At 35.9% G+C, this 24,466-nt stretch overlaps 1 protein-coding gene across 4 annotated transcripts in view; it reads left to right on the top strand.

Annotated features, from left to right (window-relative positions):
* Positions 1–24,466, top strand: part of NPFFR2 (neuropeptide FF receptor 2) — a 116,306-nt gene that overhangs the window by 22,289 nt on the left and 69,551 nt on the right. The window contains exon 2 of one of the 4 annotated variants that reach the window (NM_001144756.2): positions 14,625–14,735. The exons of the other annotated variants lie outside the window; for them this stretch is intronic. Coding sequence (NP_001138228.1) covers positions 14,734–14,735 — 2 coding nt within the window. The 5' untranslated portion in view covers positions 14,625–14,733. The remainder of the gene's footprint in view (positions 1–14,624; positions 14,736–24,466) is intronic. 4 annotated transcript variants of the gene reach the window in all.

Below are 24,466 nucleotides of genomic sequence, written 5' to 3' on the forward strand. Positions count from 1 at the left end.
AGACAAACAGAACACAATCACCAGTACAGAAATAGACCCACACTTATGTGGCCAATTTATTTTAGACAATGGATCCAAGATAATTCAATTAGAAAAGGTTAATCTTTTCAATAAATAGTACTGGAACTACCAAATATTCCTATAAAAAATTAACCTTAACTCTTACATTACACCATACACAAAAATTAAATTGAAATGGAACATAAATGTAAACATATAAGCTAAAACTATAAACCTTCTATAAAAATCATAAGAGAAAATTTTTGCAAACTTTTACAGGAAAGATTTCTTAAATATAACACAAGAATCACAAACCATGAAAGAAATAAACTGACACAATTAACTTTATCAAAACTTAAAGAAACAATTTTTTTGCTCTCTGAAAGACACAGTTGAGAAAACAAAGAGACAAACCACAGAATGGGAGAAAATGTTTTGAAAATATATATTTTACAAAGTACTTTATCCAGAAGATATAAACAATTCTTATAACTCAATGAGAATACAAAGAACCTTCACAAATGGAGATATTAATAGCTAATAAACTCATGAAAAACTGTTCAGAGTTCTGTCTTCATGAAAAAGAAAACTAAAAAACAATGAGACATCTCTACACCATCATCCTCAACAAGGGTGATATCATCCCCAAGGTAGCAAAAATTAGTTCTTAGGTACAGAGGAAAATTTTCTATATTGTATAATATACAGATTTTATATGTACATATAATACATATACACACAGTATAAAACAGATACTATTAAACTACTAATATATGCAAAACATCAATGAATCTTAAAAAGCATTAGACTAAGTAGAAGAAAATCTTAATATCCACATACAGGTATACCTCATTTGATTGCACTTTGCTTTATTGTGCTTCACAGTATTGTGTTTGCAAATTGAAAGTTTGTGGTAACCTTGTATTGAACAAGGCTATCAGTGCCATGTTCCCATGTTCCCCAAGCGCATAGGCTCACTTCGTGTCTTTGTCACATTTCGGTAATTCTTGTGATAATAAAAAAGTTTGAAATATTGCATCTGTGAACATGATCTGTAATGCTATTATTGTAATTGTTTTGGGGTACCACAAACTGTGACTGCATAAAATGGCAAAGGTAATAGATAAGTGTTGTGTGTATTCTGACTGCTCTACCATAGCACATAGTAGAGCAGATATTCTCCCCTCTCCCTCTCCTTGAGGCTTCCTATTATATGAGACAAAACGATATCAAAATTAGGCCAATTAATAACCCTACAATGGCCTCTAAGTGTTTAGGTTAAAGGAAAAGTTGCACATCTTTCACTTTAAATCAAAAGCTAGAAATAATTAAGCTTAGTGAGGAAGGCATGTCCAATGCCAAGACAGGCCAAACCCTAGGCCTCTTGAGCCAAACAGCTAGCCAAGTTGTGAATGCAAAGGAAAAGTTATCAGAGGAAATTTAAAGTGCTGCTCCAGTGAATACATGAATGATAAGAAAGCAAAATAGCTTTATGGCTGATATGGAGAAAGTCTGAGTCATCTGGATAGAAAATCTAACAAGCCACAACATTCCCTTAAGTTGGAGTCTAATCCAGAGCAAGGCCCTAACTCTATTCAATTCTATGAAAGCTAAAAGAGGTGAGGAAGCTGCAGGAGAAAAGTGTGAAGCTAGCAGAGGTTGGTTCATGAGATTCAAGGAAAAAAATTCTCTCCGTGCCATAAAAGTCAAAGGTGAAGCAACAAGTGCTGACACAGAAACTGCCTCAGGTTATCCAGAAGTTCTCACTAAGATGATTGATGAAAGTGGCTACACTAAGTAATAGATTTTCAATGTGCATGAAAACACCTTCTATTGGAAGAAGATGCCATTGAGGACTTTCATAGCTAGAGAGAAGAAGAAAATGCCTGGCTTCAGAACCTCAAAGGACAGCCTGATAAGGCAGCTGGTGACTTTAAGTTGAAGCCAATGCTCATTGATTATTCCAAAACCCCTAAGTTCCTTAAGAATTATGCTAAATATACTCTGTCCATGCTCTATAAATGAAACATCAAAGCTTTGATGACAGCACTTCTGTTTACAGCATGGTGTACTCTATACTTTCAGCCCACTATGGAGACCTACTGCTCAGCAAAGAAGATTCCTTTCAAAACATTACTTCTCATTTACAATGCACCTGGTCACTCAAGAACTCTGATAGAGATATACAAATAGATTAATGTAGTTTTCATGCCTGCTAATACAACATACATTCTTTAGTCCATAGATCAATGAGTAATTTTGACTTTCCAGTCTTATTTAAGAAATACATTTTTTAAGGCTATAAATGGCACAAATAGTGCTTCTTCTGATGGACATGGGCAAAGTAAGCTAAAAACCTTCTGGAAAGGATTCACCATTTTAGATGCCATGAATATTTGTGATTTATGGGAGGTAGTCAAAATGTTAACATTAACAGCAGTTTGGAAGAAGTTGGTTCAGATCTTCAGGGATGATTTTGAGAAGTTGAAGACTTCAGTGGAGGAAGTAACTGTGGATCTGATGGAAATAACAAGAGAACTAGAATTAGAAGTGGAACCTGAAGATGTGTCTCAATTGCTGCAATGTCATAATCAAACTTAAACAGATGAGGAGTTGCTTCTTATGGATAAGCAAAGAGAGTGGTTTTTTGTCTGTTTTTTAGAGGGAATCTACTACAGGTGAAGATGCTGTGGACATTGTTGAAATGGCAACAAAGGATTTGTATATAAATGACATGAGTAAAACCACAATAAAGTGATATATTGAAGCCTATTGAATAATAAAAGAATATATTGGTTCATACTGAAATAAACAAATAGAAGAAAGCTCTTCCTTATATTGGATTGCCAACTAACAAATACAAAAGAAATAATAGAATTTAAAAATTACCACTTGGCAATCATCATCATCATCATCATTGACTCAGGTGGGAAACATCAATTAAGGCTAAAACTGGTGGGTGCAGGTTTGCTGACCATGTGAGTTTCCTAGGGCTGCTATAACGTATCATCATAAATGTGGTGGCTTAAAACAATAGAAATTTATTTTCTCACAGTTCCAGAGGCCAGAAATCTGAAATCAAGGGGTAGGAAGGACCAAGTTGCCTTGAAAGATCTCCGAGAAAATTCTTCCTTGCTTCTTCCAGCTTGTGGTGGCTCCAGGAACACCTTCGCTTAAGGCAGCATAACTCCAACCTTTGCCTTTGTCTTCACATAACCTTCTTTGTTGCTATGTCTGAATTTTCCTCTGCCTTTCTCTTACAAGGATATCTTTCACTGGATTTAGGGCTCACCCTAAATTTCGGGTGATATCATTTTCAGATCCCTAATTATGTTTGCAAAGACCCTTTTTCCAAGTAAGGTCACATACATAGATTCCAGGTGGACAAATCTTTGGAGGAGTCACAAACCAATGCACAACAGTGAAAATAGGATATTTACAGAGTATCTCCCACAATATACTTATTAAGTGCCAAGGGAAAAGTAGATACTCCATAATGGAGAGACCTGGCAAATCAAGGTCAATGTCATCAATAGTAGTACAAATGTATATTGCATCCCTCCATGCGTGATGCACTATGAAGAGTACCGTGTCACTTCTACCACATTTCTGCCAAAAATGCATAATGTGAATCTAATTCTGAGAAAACCTGCACAAATCCAAATGGAGTGGCATTCTGATACTTCCAGAAACCTCAAAGTTATGAAAGACAGGAAGAGAGGATGGAGAGGCTTGGCTAGTTAAAAATTGTACTAGAAAAACATTTCTTCAGCTCTAAAAGACATTGCCAGGAGGTAATAATATTTGAGTAAGGTCTTTGGGTAGAGACAGCGTTTTATCAGTGATAATTTCCTGATTTTGATTATCGTGTTGTGTAGGAGAATGTGTTTATTTTATGGGGAGTACACACTAAAGTATTTATGGGCACAGGGACATTATTTCAATAACTTACTCCTAGAGAGTTTAGAAAATACTATGTATATACAGAAAGAAAATTTAGTAAATATGGCAAAGTGTGAATATTTGGGGATTCTGAAAAGTATGTGGCAGTTCTTTGTATAACTGCTGTAACTTTTCTCTAGTTCTGAAATTATTTCAAAATAAAAAGTAAAAAAAAAAAGACTTTTGAAGAAAATATCTACTTACCCCAGAGGAGTCTGGTTCCCAAAATTCATTGTGGCTGGAACACTGATGTGATATATGTTTTAATGCATATAAGCTGGTCCCTGGCAACTAAGCCAGTGACCTGACTGGTTTTCTGAAGCAGCAGTGAATATTTAGAGGATTGTATGATTGTTCTTCCTTATCAGTCTTTGAATGGGCTTATGGAAAATAAGACAACTTCTGGATTGTTTATAATTTAATGTGAATTATTTGACTGAGTTTTCTACTTAGGGTTTCATCTAACATGGATTTTTTTGTAAAACCCATGGGATTGGCTGTTTTTCCTCATTCTAGGGTCACCAGGACTTTTTCAGTATCATGTCTGTCACAAACCTTTCAAGTACAATTGGATCTTCATGATTTTAAGGCCCAAGAGGCACAGCAGCTCACACCACAGCATGTACCTGCTGCAAAACTATCTCCTGCTCTGGGCCTTACTCAAACTTCATAGCTCTAGCAAATACACCAGTAAATCCGTTACAAAATATTGTTCACATAAGCCAAATAAGCCTATCAAGTGCAGTACTTCTTTGTTGTTGAGGATGTACAAATTAATGGAACTCTCTTTCCCTTTGGAGGGAATAGCTATTCTGGCCGTAGACCATTGTTCTCCTAGAAACTTTATTCAGGTGGCAATTTACTATTTTGGGGTGTGTGAGAATTATCTCCTATCCTCTAGTACTCATGTGTCTTATCAAGGCATCTCATGAATTAGCTAATTTCTGCTTACCAGGTCTGATTAATATGATTTCATTGATTTAGTAGGGCAGTGTAATGACAAGATGGGCAAGGTCTGCAAGATAGATTATGACAGAGTTAAAGAAAAGATATAGTTTCACATAGCGCTGAGAGAAAATGTATACTACTATCTCTGCACACTGAAAACAAAAAACTGGTTTTTTGACTAGTTTGATAATTTGCATAGAGAAAACATATTTGTCAGACTAAGAGCTGCACACCAGATTCTAGGGTCTTCTATACTATGGGATTTAAATTTGCAGTAAGTCCCTGTCATTTTCCAAGACTTATCTGTCTTCTTAAATAGGCAATTTAACAGGGATGTAAGAGGAATCAACAACTCTGTGTCTTTGAAGTCTTTGATGATGGCACTAATCTCTGTAATGCCCCAGTGATATAGTAATTGCTTTTGGTTTACTATCTTTGGGGAGGAGAAAATTACAGGGTCTTTAACTTGGCCCTTCGTATTCTTATAGTATTAACTCTATGGTGCTGTGAACCAAAGTGGGGTTTCTTCTAATTGCTGAGTATGGATATTCCAACTTATATTAATATTTAGTCACTAAAGGAAGAAAAGAGCATAGCATGTTTGCAGACCTACTGGGTCTACTGTGAGACAGACTCAGGCTAATGTTCTATTATTATCTGACCTCCGTAAGTCTCCGCTATAACTTGTGGCCCAGAATTAACTTGGGAACCTGCACATTAACAATGACCACAAATCCTGGAAGACCTGGTTATTTTTCCCCCCAGATAATTATCACTTTAATAATTAGCTGCAGTTTCCTTTATTAAAACATCTATGGAAATATTTGAGGCAGTGATATATGATGCTTTCTCAAGTAGATCCAGCTTCCCATTTATTAAAGAGATTTTATGTCTATGAACTGGTTCAGGTCTAAAAATTGGGTGAGAGACTATAGTTTTCCATTGTAGTGACTTGAGACAGATGTCCAATCTTTATTCCTAAAGTATAACTTTAGTGGAAAGTACACCTACTTCAATTCTTGAGTCAATGGCATTTTGTAATAATCTCTGTGTGTCAGACGTTCTTACTACCTTATTCAACCTACCTCCCATTAGAATAAGCACACCCATCTTTGTCTGGCAGTTAAGTGTCTGTCTGTCCAGGATTCCATAATAGCTATTGTAATCAAGGAACCTCTTTCAATGACACCATCTCCAGCTATTATGTATCTACTGATTTCAGAATATAACCATACCCAAGGATGCTGGCATTTCACTGACCAATGCATTTCCCAGTGCTTTGGTAAAATAGAAAGTTCTCTGGGCCCTCCTAGTGATACAATGAAGAGGTAGATTCCCTCCTCAATATTATAACAAAAGTGTTCAAGAATATAATTTTATTTAATGTAGATTAATGTTGAATTTAATGAACCAAGAAAACAGATTTATTCCAGTTGCGTAAAACAGTATATTAAATTCTGAACCTTTGGGGGAAAACAACATATGTAAGTATAGACGTTGAGCTGAGAATTTAGAACCCCGAGCTTGTCATTCTTATTATTATTTGGGGATTTTTCCGATGAGGTCAGAAGCCAACCCACCTGAGTCCCCTTCATCATCACTTTTCTACTAAAGTCCCCATTTAGTAGCTGCTGAGTTGTTCATTCTAAACCTTGCCTTTAATGGACATTTCATTCTATTAAAAAACCTGTGATAATTTAAGTAACTTTTTTGCCACTGCATGTTAGAGATTACAAATATCACATTTTTCACTGCAAGCCATTTATGTACCTTATACAATATCAGTCAACAGTCTCTTAAAGGAGAGTTTCGACAGCAGAAAGACATTTAAGTCAGAGAATATATGCTCACAAAAGCATTAGAAATATTGGAGGATCAAAGATCAGGGAAAGCTGCTGCTGGCTGTAGGTTTTAGAAATCTCTATCAAGTTTTAGAAAAAAATCAGGAAGGTGTGGAACCAGTGTCTTCACTGCAGCACTGACAGTCATGATTTGCAAAGCACCTGGAGGCTAGTGAAACACTTTCTATCTGCTGAAGCTCATAGAGCTGACTGTCACTGCTGGAGGAGCAAAGTAGAGCTTTCTGCCTGTCTTTCACCTTCCAAATCTCATAACTGCTTTTTGCTGTTGCACCTAACCCAGAACTAAAGAAGTTACTTGTTTCCAGCCCTGCGATACAGGAATATTAGAGAAAAGCTGAGACTGTGCTAATCTATCACTAGACAAACTGACATAGTGGTTAAGAGAATGGGCTTTGAAGCTCCGGAGCCAGATCACCTGGGTTCAGAGCCAGGTTCCTCCACCTACTATTTCTATGACCTTGGCAGGGTGCCCAATTTCTTTGTGCCTCAGTTGTGACAGTTTTGAACTGTAGCTAATCTCCCTACCTCAAAGATTTTTAAGAGTTAGTTCAATATACTATATGATAATGCCTGACATATGTATTTCTTTGCAGGAACATGGGTAAAGCTGGAAACCATCATTATCAGCAAACTAACACAGGAACAGAAAACCAAACACCTCATGTTCTCACTCATAAGTAGGAGTTGAACAATGAGAACACATGGACAGAAGGAAGGAAACATCACACACTGGGGCCTGTTGCGGGGTGGGAGGCAAGGGGAGGGAGAGCATTAGGACAAATAACATAATGCATGCAGAGCTTAACACCTAGATAATGGGTTGATAGGTGCAGCGACCACCATGACACATGTATACCTATGTAACAAACCTACATGTTCTGCACATGTATCCCAGAACTTAAAGTAAAATAATAAATACATAAGGACAGAAAGAAAGAAATTATTACTAAAATATATGAATGTAGAAAATGGTTTTGCAAAAATGCAAATAAAGTGATTAGGCATTGCATAATCTGTTTGGAACTCTTTGGTACTCAATTTTTTTTTTTATTTGAGGTATTTCTTTCCACGGGAACCATAACTATTTAACTATTTTAGGTTTACGTTATGTTTGAGGCTAAATATACTAGCAGCTAGCTTATGTTTAATCAGCATTGCTTTTACATAAAGGACACTCATCTGAAAGCTCAAGGTAGTATACTTAAGTCATTATATTTTACTTTTTCATGAAGGCCAAGGAAAAATGCCACAGGTCTTTTTACTCTTCTTGGTAGGATCATAATTTTGTTAAATGTCCATAAATAATTAAGATGCCTCTAAAGGTTTGCTCCATAACTATAAAGTAATAAAACAAAATCTTCCAATTTGAATTTCTCTGGAAGCATTGATTGCAACTTAATCAATTAAACTTTTCACAAATTGACTTTATAATTTCATAATGTTTTAAATTCATTCAAGACTAGGTATACTGTAATAGATTGTAAAAAAAAAAAAAAAGAAGTCGTGAGTCTTCATTCTTTCCCGTATCTATGTCCTTTCCAATGTGAAATTGTAGCTTCTTGCATAAAGACGTGAAATCTTCCCGATCCCTTTAATATGGGCTGCACATGTGACTTTTTTTTCCCAACAAAATGTAATGGTACTCCAGGTTGAGGCTTTGTGATTCTTTCTTGCTCCTCTGCCTTTATCATGAGAAGATGCTCAAGCTGGCCTGTTAGAGGATGAGACTTGTGGAACCATATGGAGCAGAGCTGATTCAGCCCAGTTGTCTCAGTTAAAGCCCCAGATGTGTGAGAGAGGCCAGTTGAAATTAGCAAAGCCAGCCTATAGCTGACCAATGATACACAGATGAGCCAAACCAAGCCCACTTCATATTAGTTGAATTTCTAGGAGACTTTTGAGAAAACAAAACAAAACAAAAAACACTGTACGTCTTGAAGGTTGTGTAGTTGGTTGTAATTATTGCAGCAACAGGTAACTGTACATACACAGTGACATGATTACAAACTGAGCAGTAAGTATATTTAAATTCAAAAAGTATTTTTGTTTAGCAATGTTATAATAGTAGCAGTTTCATCTTTTTGATGCTTTTTCTAAATATACAATATAATGCTTTCAAAAACATTAATTTAGGGAAAATTTAGAGCATCTGCATTCATAACCAAAAGTATGTTTATATTTGTTATTCTACCAAGGGTCTATAAAACAAGTCTAAAGAATTTATTCATTGGCAAAATGAATTTTGCATGGCAAAATTTTATGGCAAAACATACAAATCAGAAGCAATTATTCATTCCTTGCATTTTGCATTCTACACTAACTTGCTGCCTACGTCGAAGCAAACAAGGTAATTTGAATAAATAAATGGTTTCTCTTTAATAATGTTGTGCAGCAGGGAAGTCAGCTTCTAAAGAAATGGTTTTGAAGTGATTAAGAAGAAAAAGCTTTATAAGTATTTTAAGGCTATTGAGTTACTCTGAGGATAAGTAGGATAAATGTTATGAGTAGAAAGCAGAGCAAGGTTTCAAGCATTCAGCAGGCAAGGTTTCAAAACATAATATTAGTTGGCATAAATAAAAATAAAAGTTCTTTTCAGTATTGCTTGAGAAAGGCAAAAGTGGTTATTTCCAGTCAGCCCACTTTAATTCAGTACCTGGTGAAGTTTTCCAGCTGGGGCATATGGCGCATAGAAATGACTTATCAAAAGAGGGGCTTCAAGATAGTTCAAGAAAAGTTAATCTTTTACCTATAATGTGTTAGCCATTCTGCTAGGTACTGAGAACAGAGCTGGCCAAAGACAATGATTTTAAATCTGTGTGAAATGCAGAATAATAGTATATGCAAGACATGAGAAACAAAATTTGTCTATGTGGCTAGAGAATGATTCACAGAGGAGAAAACCAATGACTGGGTCTCGATTTACGTTTATAGTTTACCATTTAGGAAAAAAGGATGACAGTAATAAAAAGGAACAGTATAAACAAAGGCATAGGGATGTGAATGAGTGAGTCACAATGGAAAATTCCACCCACCAGGAACATGGATAACCCAGGACAGAAGAGGATGGAGGTAAAATATGATAGTACTGATGGTATATTAGTTATTTATTTCTGCAAATGAATTAGTGCAAAACTTACTGGCTTAAAAACAACAATATTAATCTCACAGTTTCTGTGGGTCAGGAGCTCAGCATGGCTCACCTGGGCCCTCTGGCTCAGGATCTCTCAGGCTGCCATCAAGGCTGCTGTCAGCCTCATCTGGAGGGACAGTGCAGGGAGGATCCACTTCCATGCTCACTGGTCATCAGCAGGATCCAGTTTTTGTTGGCTATTGGCCTGAGGCCACCCTCAGTTCCCTGCCACCCTCCGTAGGCAGTTCTCAACTTCTCAGCTTGTAAGCAAGCATGGAGAGCCAGAGAGAGTGTGAGCAAGATGGATGTCAATCTTTTGTTACCTAATCTCAGACGTGACTTCTGTCACTTTTGCCATATTATATCCATTAAAAGCAAGTTACTAGATCCAACCCACTCTTAAGGAAGTGGGAAGGAATATAAAGCAAGGACATAGATAGTAGGAGGGAGGGATCATTGGGAGCCTTTTAGAAGCAGTCCCCAAAAGATGGTAAAAGTAATTCCATCCATCATGAGTGACAGTACTAGGAAAAGAGGTCGGTGATAAGGATACATGAAATTGATGAGACAGACAGTTGGTAAATGATAGGGAACATTTTAGTGTTCTACTGAAATGACTAGAGAGCCTGCATAGGTAGGATACATTGATCCCTGTGAGTAGGGCTAAACAATGCTAACAATGATCACCTGAGACATCTAGGAAAAGAAGAGCTTCGAATGCCCACGTGGTGGAGACTTGTTTCTTACTTCTTCTACACAGGCAAGATGCTGCTGGAGGGATGCTTGCAGCCTAACCTGACTGCCAAATATGAAAAGAGAAAAGAGGAGGTGAAGGACAGAGCACAATATCAATGCATCCAAGTTGTCCAGTGGCCAGAGACAGAAATCTGAAATAAAACAACCAGCACTGGTTGCTCAGAGAAAAAAAAAAAAACAAAGCTTATGACAAAGGCAATTTTCACAAAAATAATATCAAGAATATTTTAAAAGATAATTTAGAGGATTAAAAAACTTCATTAAAAATTATTTTTGAATGAAATAATTCCATAGGCAAGTGGAAAGAAATGACATTAACATTGAGAACTGAATCAGAAACTGAAATATCAAGTTAAAGAATCAGGTCTCTGAAAAAAATCAGAGACCAAAAGGAATGCGATGGAAATAATGAATGCAAATATGTAAATAATCTTAATTCTTAAAGAAGAAAAACATATCAAGAAATGACAGGCAATCACTAAATATATGAGAGAAATAAGCTCTTGGTCTCAAAAAGACTTTCTTCTCCAAAAGATTGAAAGGAAAATGAAATTCCATTATTAATGTTTTAAAAGAAACTCCTGATCATATGTTAGTATAATTACTGAATTCTGAGAATAAAACAATTTATCCTATTGTAAATTATACAAATTGACCCAAGGAGATACACATTTTCTTCTAAGACACTCTCTTTCAGCCAAAGTGGTTTATTTGCTATTCATTAAATGCAGGGCACCATCATTCCTAGTCCCATTTTCTTCTAGTAGGAGCAGCCTTTCCCCAACTACACAGTTGGAATTGGAGAGCCAAAGAGAGTGCTGTAATAATTACATTAAGACTAGCAGCAGGGTACAGGAACTATCCCAGGCAAATCTGGTCCTGTGGTTCTCCCTACCCAGATCTTCAGAAGGCTCATCCTTGCGATGCCCTTAGGACTTTGCTTAAGTGTCAGCTTATCCACTTCCCTGACCATCCCCTAGTGAATTAATGAACTACTACTCATGCAAGCCCCCTTACCCTACTTGATATTTTGCCTCATATATTATGCATTTATTTGTTATATCTCTCCACCTGTCTTAGTTAATTTGTGCTACTACAACAAAATACCAGAGACAATTGTAAAGAACAGAAATTTGTTTTCCCATAGTTCCGGAGCTTTGGAAGTCCAAGATCAAGGAACTGTCAGGTTTGATTGTCTGGAGAGGGCTGCTGTCTGCCTCCAAGATGGCACCTTGTTGCTGCATCCTCTGGAGAGGAGGAGTGCTGTGTCCTTACAAGGTGGAAGGCATAAGGGCAAGAGGGCCAAACACCTAGTGAAGGCTCTTTCATAAGGGTTTTAATTCCACTAATGAAGAAGGATCCCTCATGACCTAATCACCTCTTAAGAGCCCCACCTCTTAATACCATCTCGTTGGTCATTAAGTTTTAACACCTGAATTTTTGAAGCAATACATCCAAATTTATGTCCCTCTTAGATGAAAAATATATTCAGTCCATTCCCATAGCCCCTAAAGTATTAACTATTTCTAGTATCAACTTAAAAGTCTAAAGTCCAAAGTCTCATTTAAATATTTCTCAATCAGATATGGGTTAGATGCAAAGGTGTATATCATCTGTAGGCAAGTGTCCCTTTAGCTGTGAATCTGTGGAATTAAAAAAGTTATGTGCTTCCAAAATAGGTGGTGGGATGGGCACAAGTTAGATGTTTCTGTTCCAAAAGGGAGAAACAGGAAAGAAGAATGAGGTAACTGGTGTTAAGTAAGTCTAAAATCCAACAGGGCAAACAACACTCTATCTTAAGCCTTGAGAATAATCTTTGACTCCATGTCTCACATTCCAGGAACAATGGGGCAAGGGTTAGGTCCCCAAGGCTCCAGGGGACTACAACCCCATGGCTTTACTGAGTGTACCCCAAGCAGCTGCCCTCACAGATTGAAATTGGGTGCCTACAGCTCTCCCAGACTGGCATTCCGCATTGGTGACAGATCTAGGCTCTCTGAGGTGGCTCTGCTCCCATGGCTCCATTAAGAATTGCTCTACTGGGGGCTCTCTGCAGTGGCCCCAACCCCTCGGCTCTGCTGGGCTTTTCCCAGGTTGGGGCCTTATTCAACACATGAGCAACAGTCCTCTCCCTGGGCCCCGATCCTCTCTGAGGGGCGTCCTTTGAAATCTTGGTGGAGGTGAAATCATGCCACCACAGGTCAAGGACTCTGTGAGCCTGTTGAATTAGCATCGTGTGGATGGATTCTCCTGTTTATAGCATTGTGGCTTACAGATCATGCCTTGCAGAGCAGTGGCCCGAGTTCTACCTGGCCCACTTTAGCCACCGCTGAAGTGGCCAGTGAGCACTGTACCAGAATATGGAAAGAAAGGACTTACAGTAACGTTGGGTGGAAAGCCCTGAGGCCCCACAGCCACCCTGGGCTCCTCTCTTCCAGCTTTTCTGTTCTCAAGGCCTAGCACTCTGGGTGTTTGATGGGTACTGCAGCTTCTAAAATGCCTTCAGTGTCGTGCTCCCATTATCTTAATGAATAATACCTGGCTTCCTTCTATTCATAATAATCTTATCAAATGGTCTCTTGGGTATACCGTTGGTTTTCTCTCCTAAACAAGCTTTTAAAATTCTGTACATGGCCAGGCTGAGCATTTTTTCAAATCTTTATATTTTACTTTTGTTTTAACTATAAATTCCTTCTTCAGTTTTTTTTCTCTCTTCTCACATTTTACTATAAACAGGAGAATCCATGTAGCACCCTGAATACTTTGCTTATAGAGATTTCTTCCACCAAATTTCCTAGTTCATTGCTTTTAAGTTCTGCCTCCTACAAAGTCCTAGGACATAGACACTGTTCAGACAAATTATTTTTCACTTTATAATGAGGACAGCCTTTTCTACAGTTTCCAATACCTTGTTTCTTATTTCCATCTGAGACTTCATTAGAATAGTCTTCGCTAACCATGTTTCTACCAGCATTCTGTTCACAACCACTTTAAGTAATCTTTGGGAAGAATGAACCTTTCCCTGTAGCTCTGCTCTTCTTCTGAGCCCTCATCAGAATCACCCTTAACACTCCATTCATGGCAATACAGGCTTTTTTCAACATTTACTTCAAAAGTTTTCCAGTCTGTAGCCATTACCCAATTCCAAATCTACTTCCCTATATTTTGGTATCTGTTATAGCAACACCCACTTCTTTGGTACTGATTTCTCTCTTAGTCCATTTTTATGACTATAACAAAATATCACAGACTGAGTAATTTTTAAAGAACATAAATTTATTTCCTCACACTTCTGAAGGCTGAGAACTCCAAGATCAAGATGTGGGCAGGTTAGTTGTCTGGTGAGGGCTGTTCTCTGGTTCCAAGATGGCACCTTGTTGCTGCATCCTCTGGAAAGGAGTGCTGTGTCCTAAGATGGCAGAAGGCATATGGGCAAGAGGGCCAAACACTGAGTAAAGCTATTTTTATAAAAGGCTTAGTCCCATTTATTAGAAAAGAGCCCTCATGCTCTAATCACTTCTTAAAGGCCCTACAATAGTACTTAATAATATCATGTTGCCCATTAAGTTTCAACACCTGAATTTTGGAGGAGACATGCTCAAGCCATAGCACCACTTCTATGAGAGCAGGGCCCTCTCTGTTTAGTTTACTGCTGTATCTATCCTTGTGCCTAGAACAGACAGTGGCATGTCATAGGCATTCAGTAAATACGGTTGAATGAACCAATTTTTGAATTAATGAATGAATAAATGAACAAAGCAGAAAAATTATATAGATCAATTTCCATAGAAAAAAATTGGAAGGGGATTAGCAGATGGATTCAGGTGAGACCGCATAGAATAACGGTTCTATGCTAGAGAATAGAACTTAATAATGCTTAAGTTCTAGAATATGAATGCCTGAGGTTCTTAGTTTTTTTTTTTTTTTATCTTATCTTTTTTCCTGCATGGCTCTAGACACATATGGTTTGATTTCTTTATTTCCAGGTCTCCTCAGTTGCGAAATTAGGATGTTAATTATAGCTTTTGACATACAAGAAACATCAAAAAGATTGAATGTCTTAATAAGAGTGAAGCATGTAGATCAGTGACTGCTATGTAAGTATTCTAATATTATTTTGATCTTTTGAAAAAGAGATAATACCAACACTACTTAAGCTATTCTGATGAGGAAAAGATAAGAATAGCATAACAGTAATGCTAAGCCTTATAAAGACTGACTAAATCTCACTTTTAACTAGAGAAATATCATTTATGACTACAGATTTTTAAAAGGCAAACTATTAGCAATCTGGAAATTAGCTGTGTGTCAAAAGAACACTGGATTATGACCTATGAAAAAATATGAATGCAAAGGTAGTCAATAGTAAATTATCAAATTATATCATTATGTAAACACAACATAGCATTTTAAAAACTATAATTGTACAATCACGTTCTAAAAAGGCATTTCAAATAATTCAGCAGTCTTTCCTGATTAAAGTGCTAAATAAAATATAAATTTAAAAAACTTTTAAGTATAAAACAGGGTCTTCACCAAAGTCCAACCGGAAAAATTCTAAAAAGTGAACTTTTAAAGCCATTTTTATTAAAATAGGAATCAGACAGGTATGCCTATGATCACTGCAGATGTTGTTATTACTATTAGTCAACATGAAAGTTTTAAAACGTTTGCGATAAGACAAGACAATAAACAACACTGACAAAAGATATAATAAAGTCAAAAGCTTTTCCATAGATTAGAAAAATATTTAATGTACAGAATATTTCTGCAAATTAATAAATGACAATTAGTAACAGAATTATTGGAAATATGAATAGGAAATTCACAGTAAAGTAAATTTAAATGGCAAATAAACATGAAAATATGTTCAACCTAGTAATAAGGAAATGTAAATTGTTTTAAAAGTTACAGAATACCTTTTCTATATCAGATTGGTAAATATAAAAAAATTGATCATACAAACTGTTAATAATAGCCGACATTTATAATCAAGTACTGATTTATGCTAGGGACTTTTTCATGTTCTATGTATATCAAGTCATATATTCTTTGTAACAAGCATATGACTAAAACTAATATTAGTCTAATATATCAATACTGGTATTATTATTCCTATTTTACACCCAATTAAACCAAGGAATATAGCAATTTAGTAATTTACTCAAGGTCTCACAGGTGAAAAGTTGAAGAGCTATAATTGATCCCTAGCAGATTGACCCTAGAGATTGCTCCTTTAACCACTACACTAAATTTTCTCATTGCTATCAGCAACATAAGTAAAGTGTCCTTCTCATATATAGCTCATTGAAATAAGAATTATTATAGTTTTTATAGAGTAACCCACACTATTTATTGAAATTAGAACTATGGCCTTTGGCCCCTCACTTCACTTCTAGGTTTGACAATATTTATTTGTGAATAAGCATTCCAATAGGAATAACCATAAGCAAATTCAGGGAGGTAGAGGAACACACAGTTTTTAAAGGAAAAATGAGGAGGGTCACATACATTTTTTTAAGAAAATTATCCTTGGCTACAAGTATCAATAATACGGGTGGCATCAGTCCAAAGTTGGACAGGCAGTTGCTGGGCAGATATCCTCATGGAAGTATCGTGTGTGTGTGTGTGTGTGGGGGGGGGGGGTGGGGCTCTGGTGGCCTTTGTGCAAGATTGTGTTTTTATGCAGAGTGTTTTGTGATAGTTATTTTATCAGACACAAATGCCTGAGGACCCTCCCCTCATGGCCTTCCGCAGCTCCATTTGTCAGGGAAGTGGCTCCATTTTGATTCTGACAACTTTCACACACTTTATAGGAAAAAAAAGTACATGAATGTAAAGATGTGTACAAGATTGTTTATTGCAGCATGTAGTACTAAGGGGTGGATGCATAGCAATAGGTTTAATGATTGAAAACGTATTGTATACTTGTAATGAACTTTGTGGTTGTTTTTATAATATCCATTCCCATTTTCTTAGGATCAAATTTATTTCGACAATGTTTCAGCCTTCACCCTCTTGCCAATAGTTCATGTTCTTTGAGAGGGAGAGTAACAGTTGACTGCATTTCTAGTTTTAAAAGTGGTACATGTGACTGAGGCTTTATCACTGTTAGCAAATTATCAAAAGCAAATAATGTTGAACATTGACTGAGAAAAAAACATAATTCTGGACATCATCTTCAGAAAGTATGATTCAATAGCTCTAGAGTTACTCCTCCAAGAATCTATGTTTTCCTTTTTTGTTAACCAAGCTCTCCAGGTGTTTCTCATGCACAGACATGTTTAAAAACAAGCATGAATATCGTAAATGTCAATGCTGTATGGTAAATATCACCTAGCTGAGACTATGAATTCATGGAGGAAAGTGTAATTAATTACTAAGGTCAGAGGTACAGGCAAGATTTGACACTTTATTGATTTTTGAGTATTAAGTGAGATTTTGTTTTTGTGAGGAGCGTGTATGACCCCCCAAATAGAAGATAGTACAGAGTGGATTCTTGGAAGATGGTGCAGCATAAAGCATGTGAAATCTTTCTCCCTAACTAGACAATAATTGCACTGGCACAATCTGTCTGATGTAACTATTTTGGAGCTCTACAGTGTATTGAAGGCTTGCAGTTGAAGACTTGGATGATAACTTGCAGTTAATTTCAGTAAATTTCAACTCTTGGCACAAAACCATCCATCCCCTACCTCTCAGCCACATGACAGGTAGATCTGCACATGTACCTGGAATAGCTTGAACATAGCTTGAAGAAGCCTGGGTGCACAAAAAGGACCCTTTCCTTTATATACTGGGGATCTATGCCCTGATTGTTACTTCTGATTGCAGATGCACAAAGAGGCTAAAGCCATTGTTGTTTTACCTCCTCCCATTGCTGCAAGCCCTTCCCCTTCTGACTGAAGTGACTGCCAGGGCCAATGACTTCCCCTTCACCTTCATTTTTCTCTTTTTCCACTTTGTGAGCCAGACATTGAAGACTAGCTCATTGAAAAGAAACCACATACACGAGAAAATTAGAAAGTCACCACTCATGCCCAGGGGAAGGCACTGGCTCAGAAAAGGCCAGAGAATACATTAAGTTTGCCCCTGTGGTTTATTCTTGGCACAGAGATAGATAGCCTACAACAATCAAGAAACAACAACAAAAAAAGCAGCAAATCCTGGTGAAGAGGAAGGATTCAGTTTCCAGCATTGCTGTACCATTAGATTAACATGTCTAGTTTTCACCAGAAATCATAAAGCATATTTACAAACCAGGAAAATATGGCTAATTCAAAGGAAAACCGCACAAACTTCCCCTGACAAAGAACTGATAGTGGAGCTATGAGACACAGACTTTGAACAACTGTCTCAAAGATGCTGACAGAACCAAAGCAAGACATGAAGAATGCCAAGAAGTCAATGTATGAAAAAAATAGAAACATAAATGAAGAGACAGAAAACCTAAAAAGAAAGAAAAAAAGAGAATTTGGAGCTGACAAAAAAAATAACTGAAATGAATAGTCACTAGAGGGATTCAAGAGCAAATTTGATCAAGCAGAAAAATCAGCTAACTTGAAGATAGGACCATAGAAATTATTGTCTGAGAAACAGAAAGAAAAAAGATTGAAATAAAGTGGACAGAGACTATGAGTCCTGTGGGACACCATCAAACAGATCAACATATACATTATGAAAATCTCAGGGGGGAAGAGAAGGAGGAAGAGGAAGAGAGAATATTTGAAGAAATCATGGCTGAAAACTTTTCAAATATAATGAAAGATATGGAAATAAACATCCGAGAAGTTCAATAGATTCTGAGTAGAATAAACTCAAAGATACTCAAAGTGAGATACATTATGATCAAAGTATCATAATCCCAAAACAGATAATGTTGAAAGTAGCTTTAGAGGAGTGACTTACCACATAAAAAGGATCTCAATACTATTATCAGCAAATTTCTCATCAGAAACCTTGGAGCATTTCCCCTATGGATAAGAGGAACTAAGGTGTAGAAAAAAATAGCAAAATGGCAGCAGTAGGTCCCTATTTATCAGTAATTGCTTTTAATGTAAATGAATTAAATTCTCCAACCAAAAGGTAGAGATCAGCAAAATAGAGTTTTTAAAATGATTCAACTATATGCCATCTACAAGAGACTCATTTTAGATCCAGAAGGCAGTGGACTGATATATTCAAACTTCTAAAAGAGCAAACAAAGAAACAACATGTCAACCAAGAACTGTGTAACTGATTTAATTGTATATTTTGAAATAACTAAAAAAGTATAATTAGATGGTTTGTAACACCAAGAATAAGTGCTTTAGGGAATGGATACCCCATTTTTCATGATGTAATTATTACATATTGCATGCCTGTATCAAAATATCTCCTGTACCCCATAAACATATACAACTACAATGTACCAACAAAAATTAAAAATGTTCTATAGCTGGCAAAACTATCTTTCAAAAGCTTACCACTAGAACTGCCCTGCAAGAAATGCTTAAGGGAGCCCTGCAGGTTGAAATTAAAGAACACTAAATAATAAGACATAAAGATCTCAATAAAGGTGAATACATATGCAATTATAAAAGCTAATGGTGTGGTAACTTTGATGTATGATTCTACTTTTTGTTCTCTACTCTATTTAAGAGACTTACACATTTAAAAAAATTATTAGTGTCAAAGTTAGTATTATAACTTTAGTTTGTAAATTAACATTTTTTTCTACATAATGGTAGAGATGAATATATTAAAATTTATTAGTTTATGTTTCTTAAAACACAATGTGTAAAGATATAATTTTATAACATCGACAACTAAAAAAGGTAGTGCTGAAGCTGTTAAAGGTGCAGAATTTTTATGTTATTAAAATGAAATGGTATAAATTCAAATTGGTGTAACAACTTTAGGATGTTACATGTAATCCCCATGGTAACTACAGAAAAATAACTAAAGAGTATACTCTAAAGGAAATGAGAAAGGAATAGAAATATTTCACTACAAAAAAATTAGCTAAACAGAAAAAAAGATGGTAATGCAGAATATGAGGAAGAAAAAAGCTATAAGGCATAGAGTGGTTTCACTTTCCATGGGTTTCACTTTCCAGGGTTTCACTTTCCATGGTTTCAGTTTCCCATAGTGAACTGCAGTTCAAAAATATTAATCAATACTCTTGTGCTTTTGAACCAGAATTAAGTAAAATAAGGGTTACTTGAACCTAAGTACTGCAATACTGTGACAAATAAGCTGCTAACCAAGATGGTTATTAGGTGACTAATGACAATCCAGGTAAAGATTTCATCCTGCTCTTCAGAATGACATGCAATTTAAAACTTATGAATTGTTTATTTTTGGACTTTTCAATTATGTCACGATGCCTACATAATTCACCTCATAAATCTCATCACATAGGGATTTTGTCATCTCACTTCATCACAAGAAGAAGAAGGGTGAGGACAGTGCAATAAATATTTTGAGGAAGAAACACCACATTCACATAATTTTTATTACAGTAGATAGCTATAATTGCTCCATTTTATTACTACTGTATTTTTGTTAATCTCTTTCTGTGCCTAATTTATAAATTAAACTTTATCTTAGGTGGTTATGTGTAGGAAAAACCATAATGTATATAGGGTTTAGTACTATCCATGATTTTAGGCATCCACTTTGGGTCTGGGAGCGTATCCCCTATGGGTAAAGGGGGACTACTATATAGAAAAAAAATCAAAATGACAGAAATAAGACCCTACTACTTATCAGTAATTACTTTTAATGTAAATGAATTAAACCTTCCCATCAAAAGACAGAGATTGGCAAAATAGATGGAAAAAAACATGATCCAACTATATGCTGTCTACAACAGACTCACTTTAGAGACCAAGATACAAATAAGTTGAAAGGTTGAAAATGGATATTCTATGCAAACGGTAATAAAAATTCAGAAGAATGGCTAAACTAATGTCAGACAACATAGACTTTAACTTTAAAAGATTATGAGATGAACAAGGACATTACATATTAATAAAAGATTCAATATGGCAAAGAGACAATATAAATATGTTTATTTTTTGTGATGGTTAATACTGAGTGTCAATTTGATTGGATTGACGAATACGAAGTATTGATCCTGGGTGTGTCTGTGAGGGTGTTGCCAACGAAGATTACCATTTGAGTCAGTGGGCTGAGGAAGGCAGACCCACACTTAATCTAGTGGGTGCAATCTAATTAGCTGCCAGTGAATATAAAGCAGGTAGAAAAACATGAAAAGGTGAGACTGGCCTGGCCTACATCTTTCTACCATGCTGGATGCTTCCTGCCATTGAACAACGGACTCCAAGTTCTTCAGTTTTGGAAGTCAAACTGGCTCTCCTTGCTGTTCAGCCTGGAGACAGCCCATTGTGGGACCTTGTGATTGTGTGAGTTAATACTTAATAAACTCCATTCCATTAGTTCTGTCCCTCTAGAGAAACTTGACTAATACATTTAATAACAGACTACCAAAATACATGAGGTAAGAAATGACTAAAGAACTAAAGGGAGAAATACACAGTTTTACAATAATATTCAGAGACTTCTATGCCCTACTCTCAATAATGGAGAGAACCACCAGACAGAATTATAACTAAGGAAACAGTGGACTTGAACCCATAATAAACCAACTATATCTAACATACATATGTGGAACATTCTACCCAATAACAATAGGATACACATTCTTCTCAGGTACATGTAGGACATAAGCCAATCACAAAATAACAAATACTGTATGATTCCACTTATATGAGGTACATTGAGTAGTCAAAATCATGGGGACTGAAAGCATAATGGAAATTGCCACAGGCTGGGAGGAGAAAGGAATGGGGAGTAATTGTTTAATGAATATAGAATTTCAGCTTTGCAAAACAAAAATAGTTTTAGAGATGAATGGTGGTGATGGTTGCACAACAATATGAATGTACTTAATATCCCCAAACTTTACACCTAAAATAGTTGTTACTCAAAATAATAAAAAGTAAATCAATCTCTCTCTCTCTCTGTCACACACACACACACACATACACACACACACACACACACACACACACACAGAGAGAGAGAGAGGGCAGACAGCACAAGCCAAAGCAGGAAGGAACAAAGCACTTTCTATACTTGGGAAATAACAAAGGACCGGTAAGGCTAGACGGCATAGATAGTGGAGATAAGTCTAGAAAGTTGGGTAAATGTCAAATCTAGAAAAATAATTGATGCTATGTTATGGAGTTTTTTTTTCCATTATAATTTAAAGCAAATACATTTTTGGATTAAAAAAATAAAATGACCTTATTTGCTCTATGTCTTGGGAAAAAATAATATGGAAATATAGATGGGAGAGGAAAGAGAATTGAGTAAGATACTTTGTATTTTTGGTATTTTGAGAAAAACTATTTCATCTATATTATATATAAATTGTTATATTCTAACAAAAGTTGATTTTTATGTACTCATTTATATCTCCTTTTAATAATATTGAGTACAAACCATTTCCCTAATAAGCATGTACCCCCAACCAGAATATTAAGAGAATACAGGGCTTTGGAGTGCCCAAGAAAGACATCATGATTTGATATGAAAATAAGCCATTGTTTTGACCATCAGCAAATGATCTTAGCAAGTACAGATTCAGTGGAAAATAGAGGCAGAAGCCAAACTGCTGTGTGTGGAAGAATAAATGGTGGTTGAAGGGGTAAAGACAGCATCATTTTTCTTCAGGATGATTAAGAGTGACTGCTAGAGCAGGAGGCCAGCTTGAGGGTAACCAGATCATTTTAGCACAAATACAACCTAATGTAGCCAAGTCCTGAGAGAGCAAGCAAATTCATTCAACAGTCATCCAGCAAGAATGTCCCTCATCACTCCTTTGGTGCTGCACTTTCACACAGTATATCTGTAATGTGATCATGAAAAGTAATTAAAGAAACAGTCTGCACTGTCAGTAAAGCATTACATCTAAGTGCTTATTCAATGTTACTGCCTTTAGTCATCAGTATTTTCAAGAAAGAGTAAAATATTGTTCTTTTTTCTAAAAAGTAGTAAATCATCTAAATTAATTTTATCTTATTCTTATTTTCCTCCAAATGAGAACATGTGCTACTCCCCTTATCAGTTAATGATTTGCTGAGGTACATAGGATAAAATAGTCTTTAAAAAATCTTTTGTTTATGTTCATTGGTTTCCATTTTCTACCTCTATCTTCATCCTCATATTCAGCCTATTTTAAAATACTTCTTTCCTGAGTTCCATTCTTCCAGGCTTTCACTAATGTAACCCTGTACATTACACTGGATATATTGGGGATTTTTGTTGGCTGGCATAAACTTACCACAAGAAAATTTTGTTTCTACATAATATTTTATGAAAGTACTAAAAGCTACCACTATCATCTCTTCTAGGGCCTGTCATGGGCCAGGAAAATGACAAATTAGCTGCCAAATCTAATGAAAGGTTGATTAAATATAAAGGGAAGAAAAATTCAACCATCCTCATACACTGACAACTGAGGTTTCTTGCTTTTTTCTTTCCAAATGCCCTTCCAATGAGGGGAAGACAAAATTAATATCTCATCCACGATTTCAGTCTGGCAGAAAATGAACCTCTTTTACAAACAGGTTGATTATTAATTAGCATTCCTAAAAGGTTGTTCATTTTGCTAATCTTAAACACTGAAATTGAAATTGCTGCAGATCTTGACAGGCACCCACTGAAAGTCCTCACTCCTTAAATAAGAGCTTCATCAGAAACTATCAAATCTTTTAGCACAGATTTGTCCCGATTTTTAAGGCATACTTTTCTTGGGGCTTTAATTTTCACTTGATTCTATTTTACTATTTTTTTGTATTAATTCCCTCACACATTTTAGCTATTAGAAAGCCAGCATGAAGCGACGTGTTTTTGTAAAAAATAGATTTGCCTCAACAAATTTTTACTCAGATAAAGAAAGTGAAAATTAGATTTAGTTTGCAATTTTGAAGTAGAGATTTTAAAGGTCATTTATGTTGTGTGCATGTGTGTAGTGGTTGTGTGGTGGTGTCATTTCCTTTTTTTGTTTGCCAGAACCATTCTGAAATAAAAAATGAGTGCAATATATTAGAAATAAAAGGTATCTGCTCTCTCATAATCTATAATTGGTGTGCTATTTCTTAATGTTTGTTCCATAGTAGATGCCATGGGTAATCAGCCATAATTATGGATTAAGATTCATATTTTGCATATAGGTACCCTATTGTTCCAGCAGTATTTGTTGAAAATATTGGATTAGAAGTTTTAATGTAGCAACAAAATTGCTGCTGTGACATGATAAAGTAAATGAACTGAATATATAAGAATGTCTTCTAAAATCAAGCTTTCAAAGATGGTGTCTTTGAAAGAAATCAAGAGAAAGGGTTGAAGAAAGAGAGTGACATATGTACTAAAGCTATCAATGAATGAGTGAGAGCAGATAGCAACAAAAAACGATTAGCATGAAGCTTTGTCTTGTGGCATGAGTTTCAAAAGATCTGGTGCTTTTTGAAAGAGGACAGAAGACTCCCCAAATGGATCTGTAGAATATTGTAATTTCTATCAAAATGCACACAAGGATTTTTGTGGACATAGGCAAGTTCCTCCTAAACTTTATGTAGAAAAGCACAGGACTAGAATAGCTAAAACAACCTTGAAAAATAAGAATAAAGTAGAAGGAATTACTCTACCTGCTATTAATGCTTACTATATGGCTACATTGATAAAAAAGCAATGTGGTATTGGTGAAGAAATTGACACATACATCAGTGAAAGAGAATAGAAAAAGCAGAACTTGACC

The sequence above is a fragment of the Homo sapiens genome, chromosome 4 (genome assembly GCF_000001405.40).
Source record: "Homo sapiens chromosome 4, GRCh38.p14 Primary Assembly".
NCBI classification, from domain to species: Eukaryota; Metazoa; Chordata; class Mammalia; order Primates; family Hominidae; genus Homo; species Homo sapiens.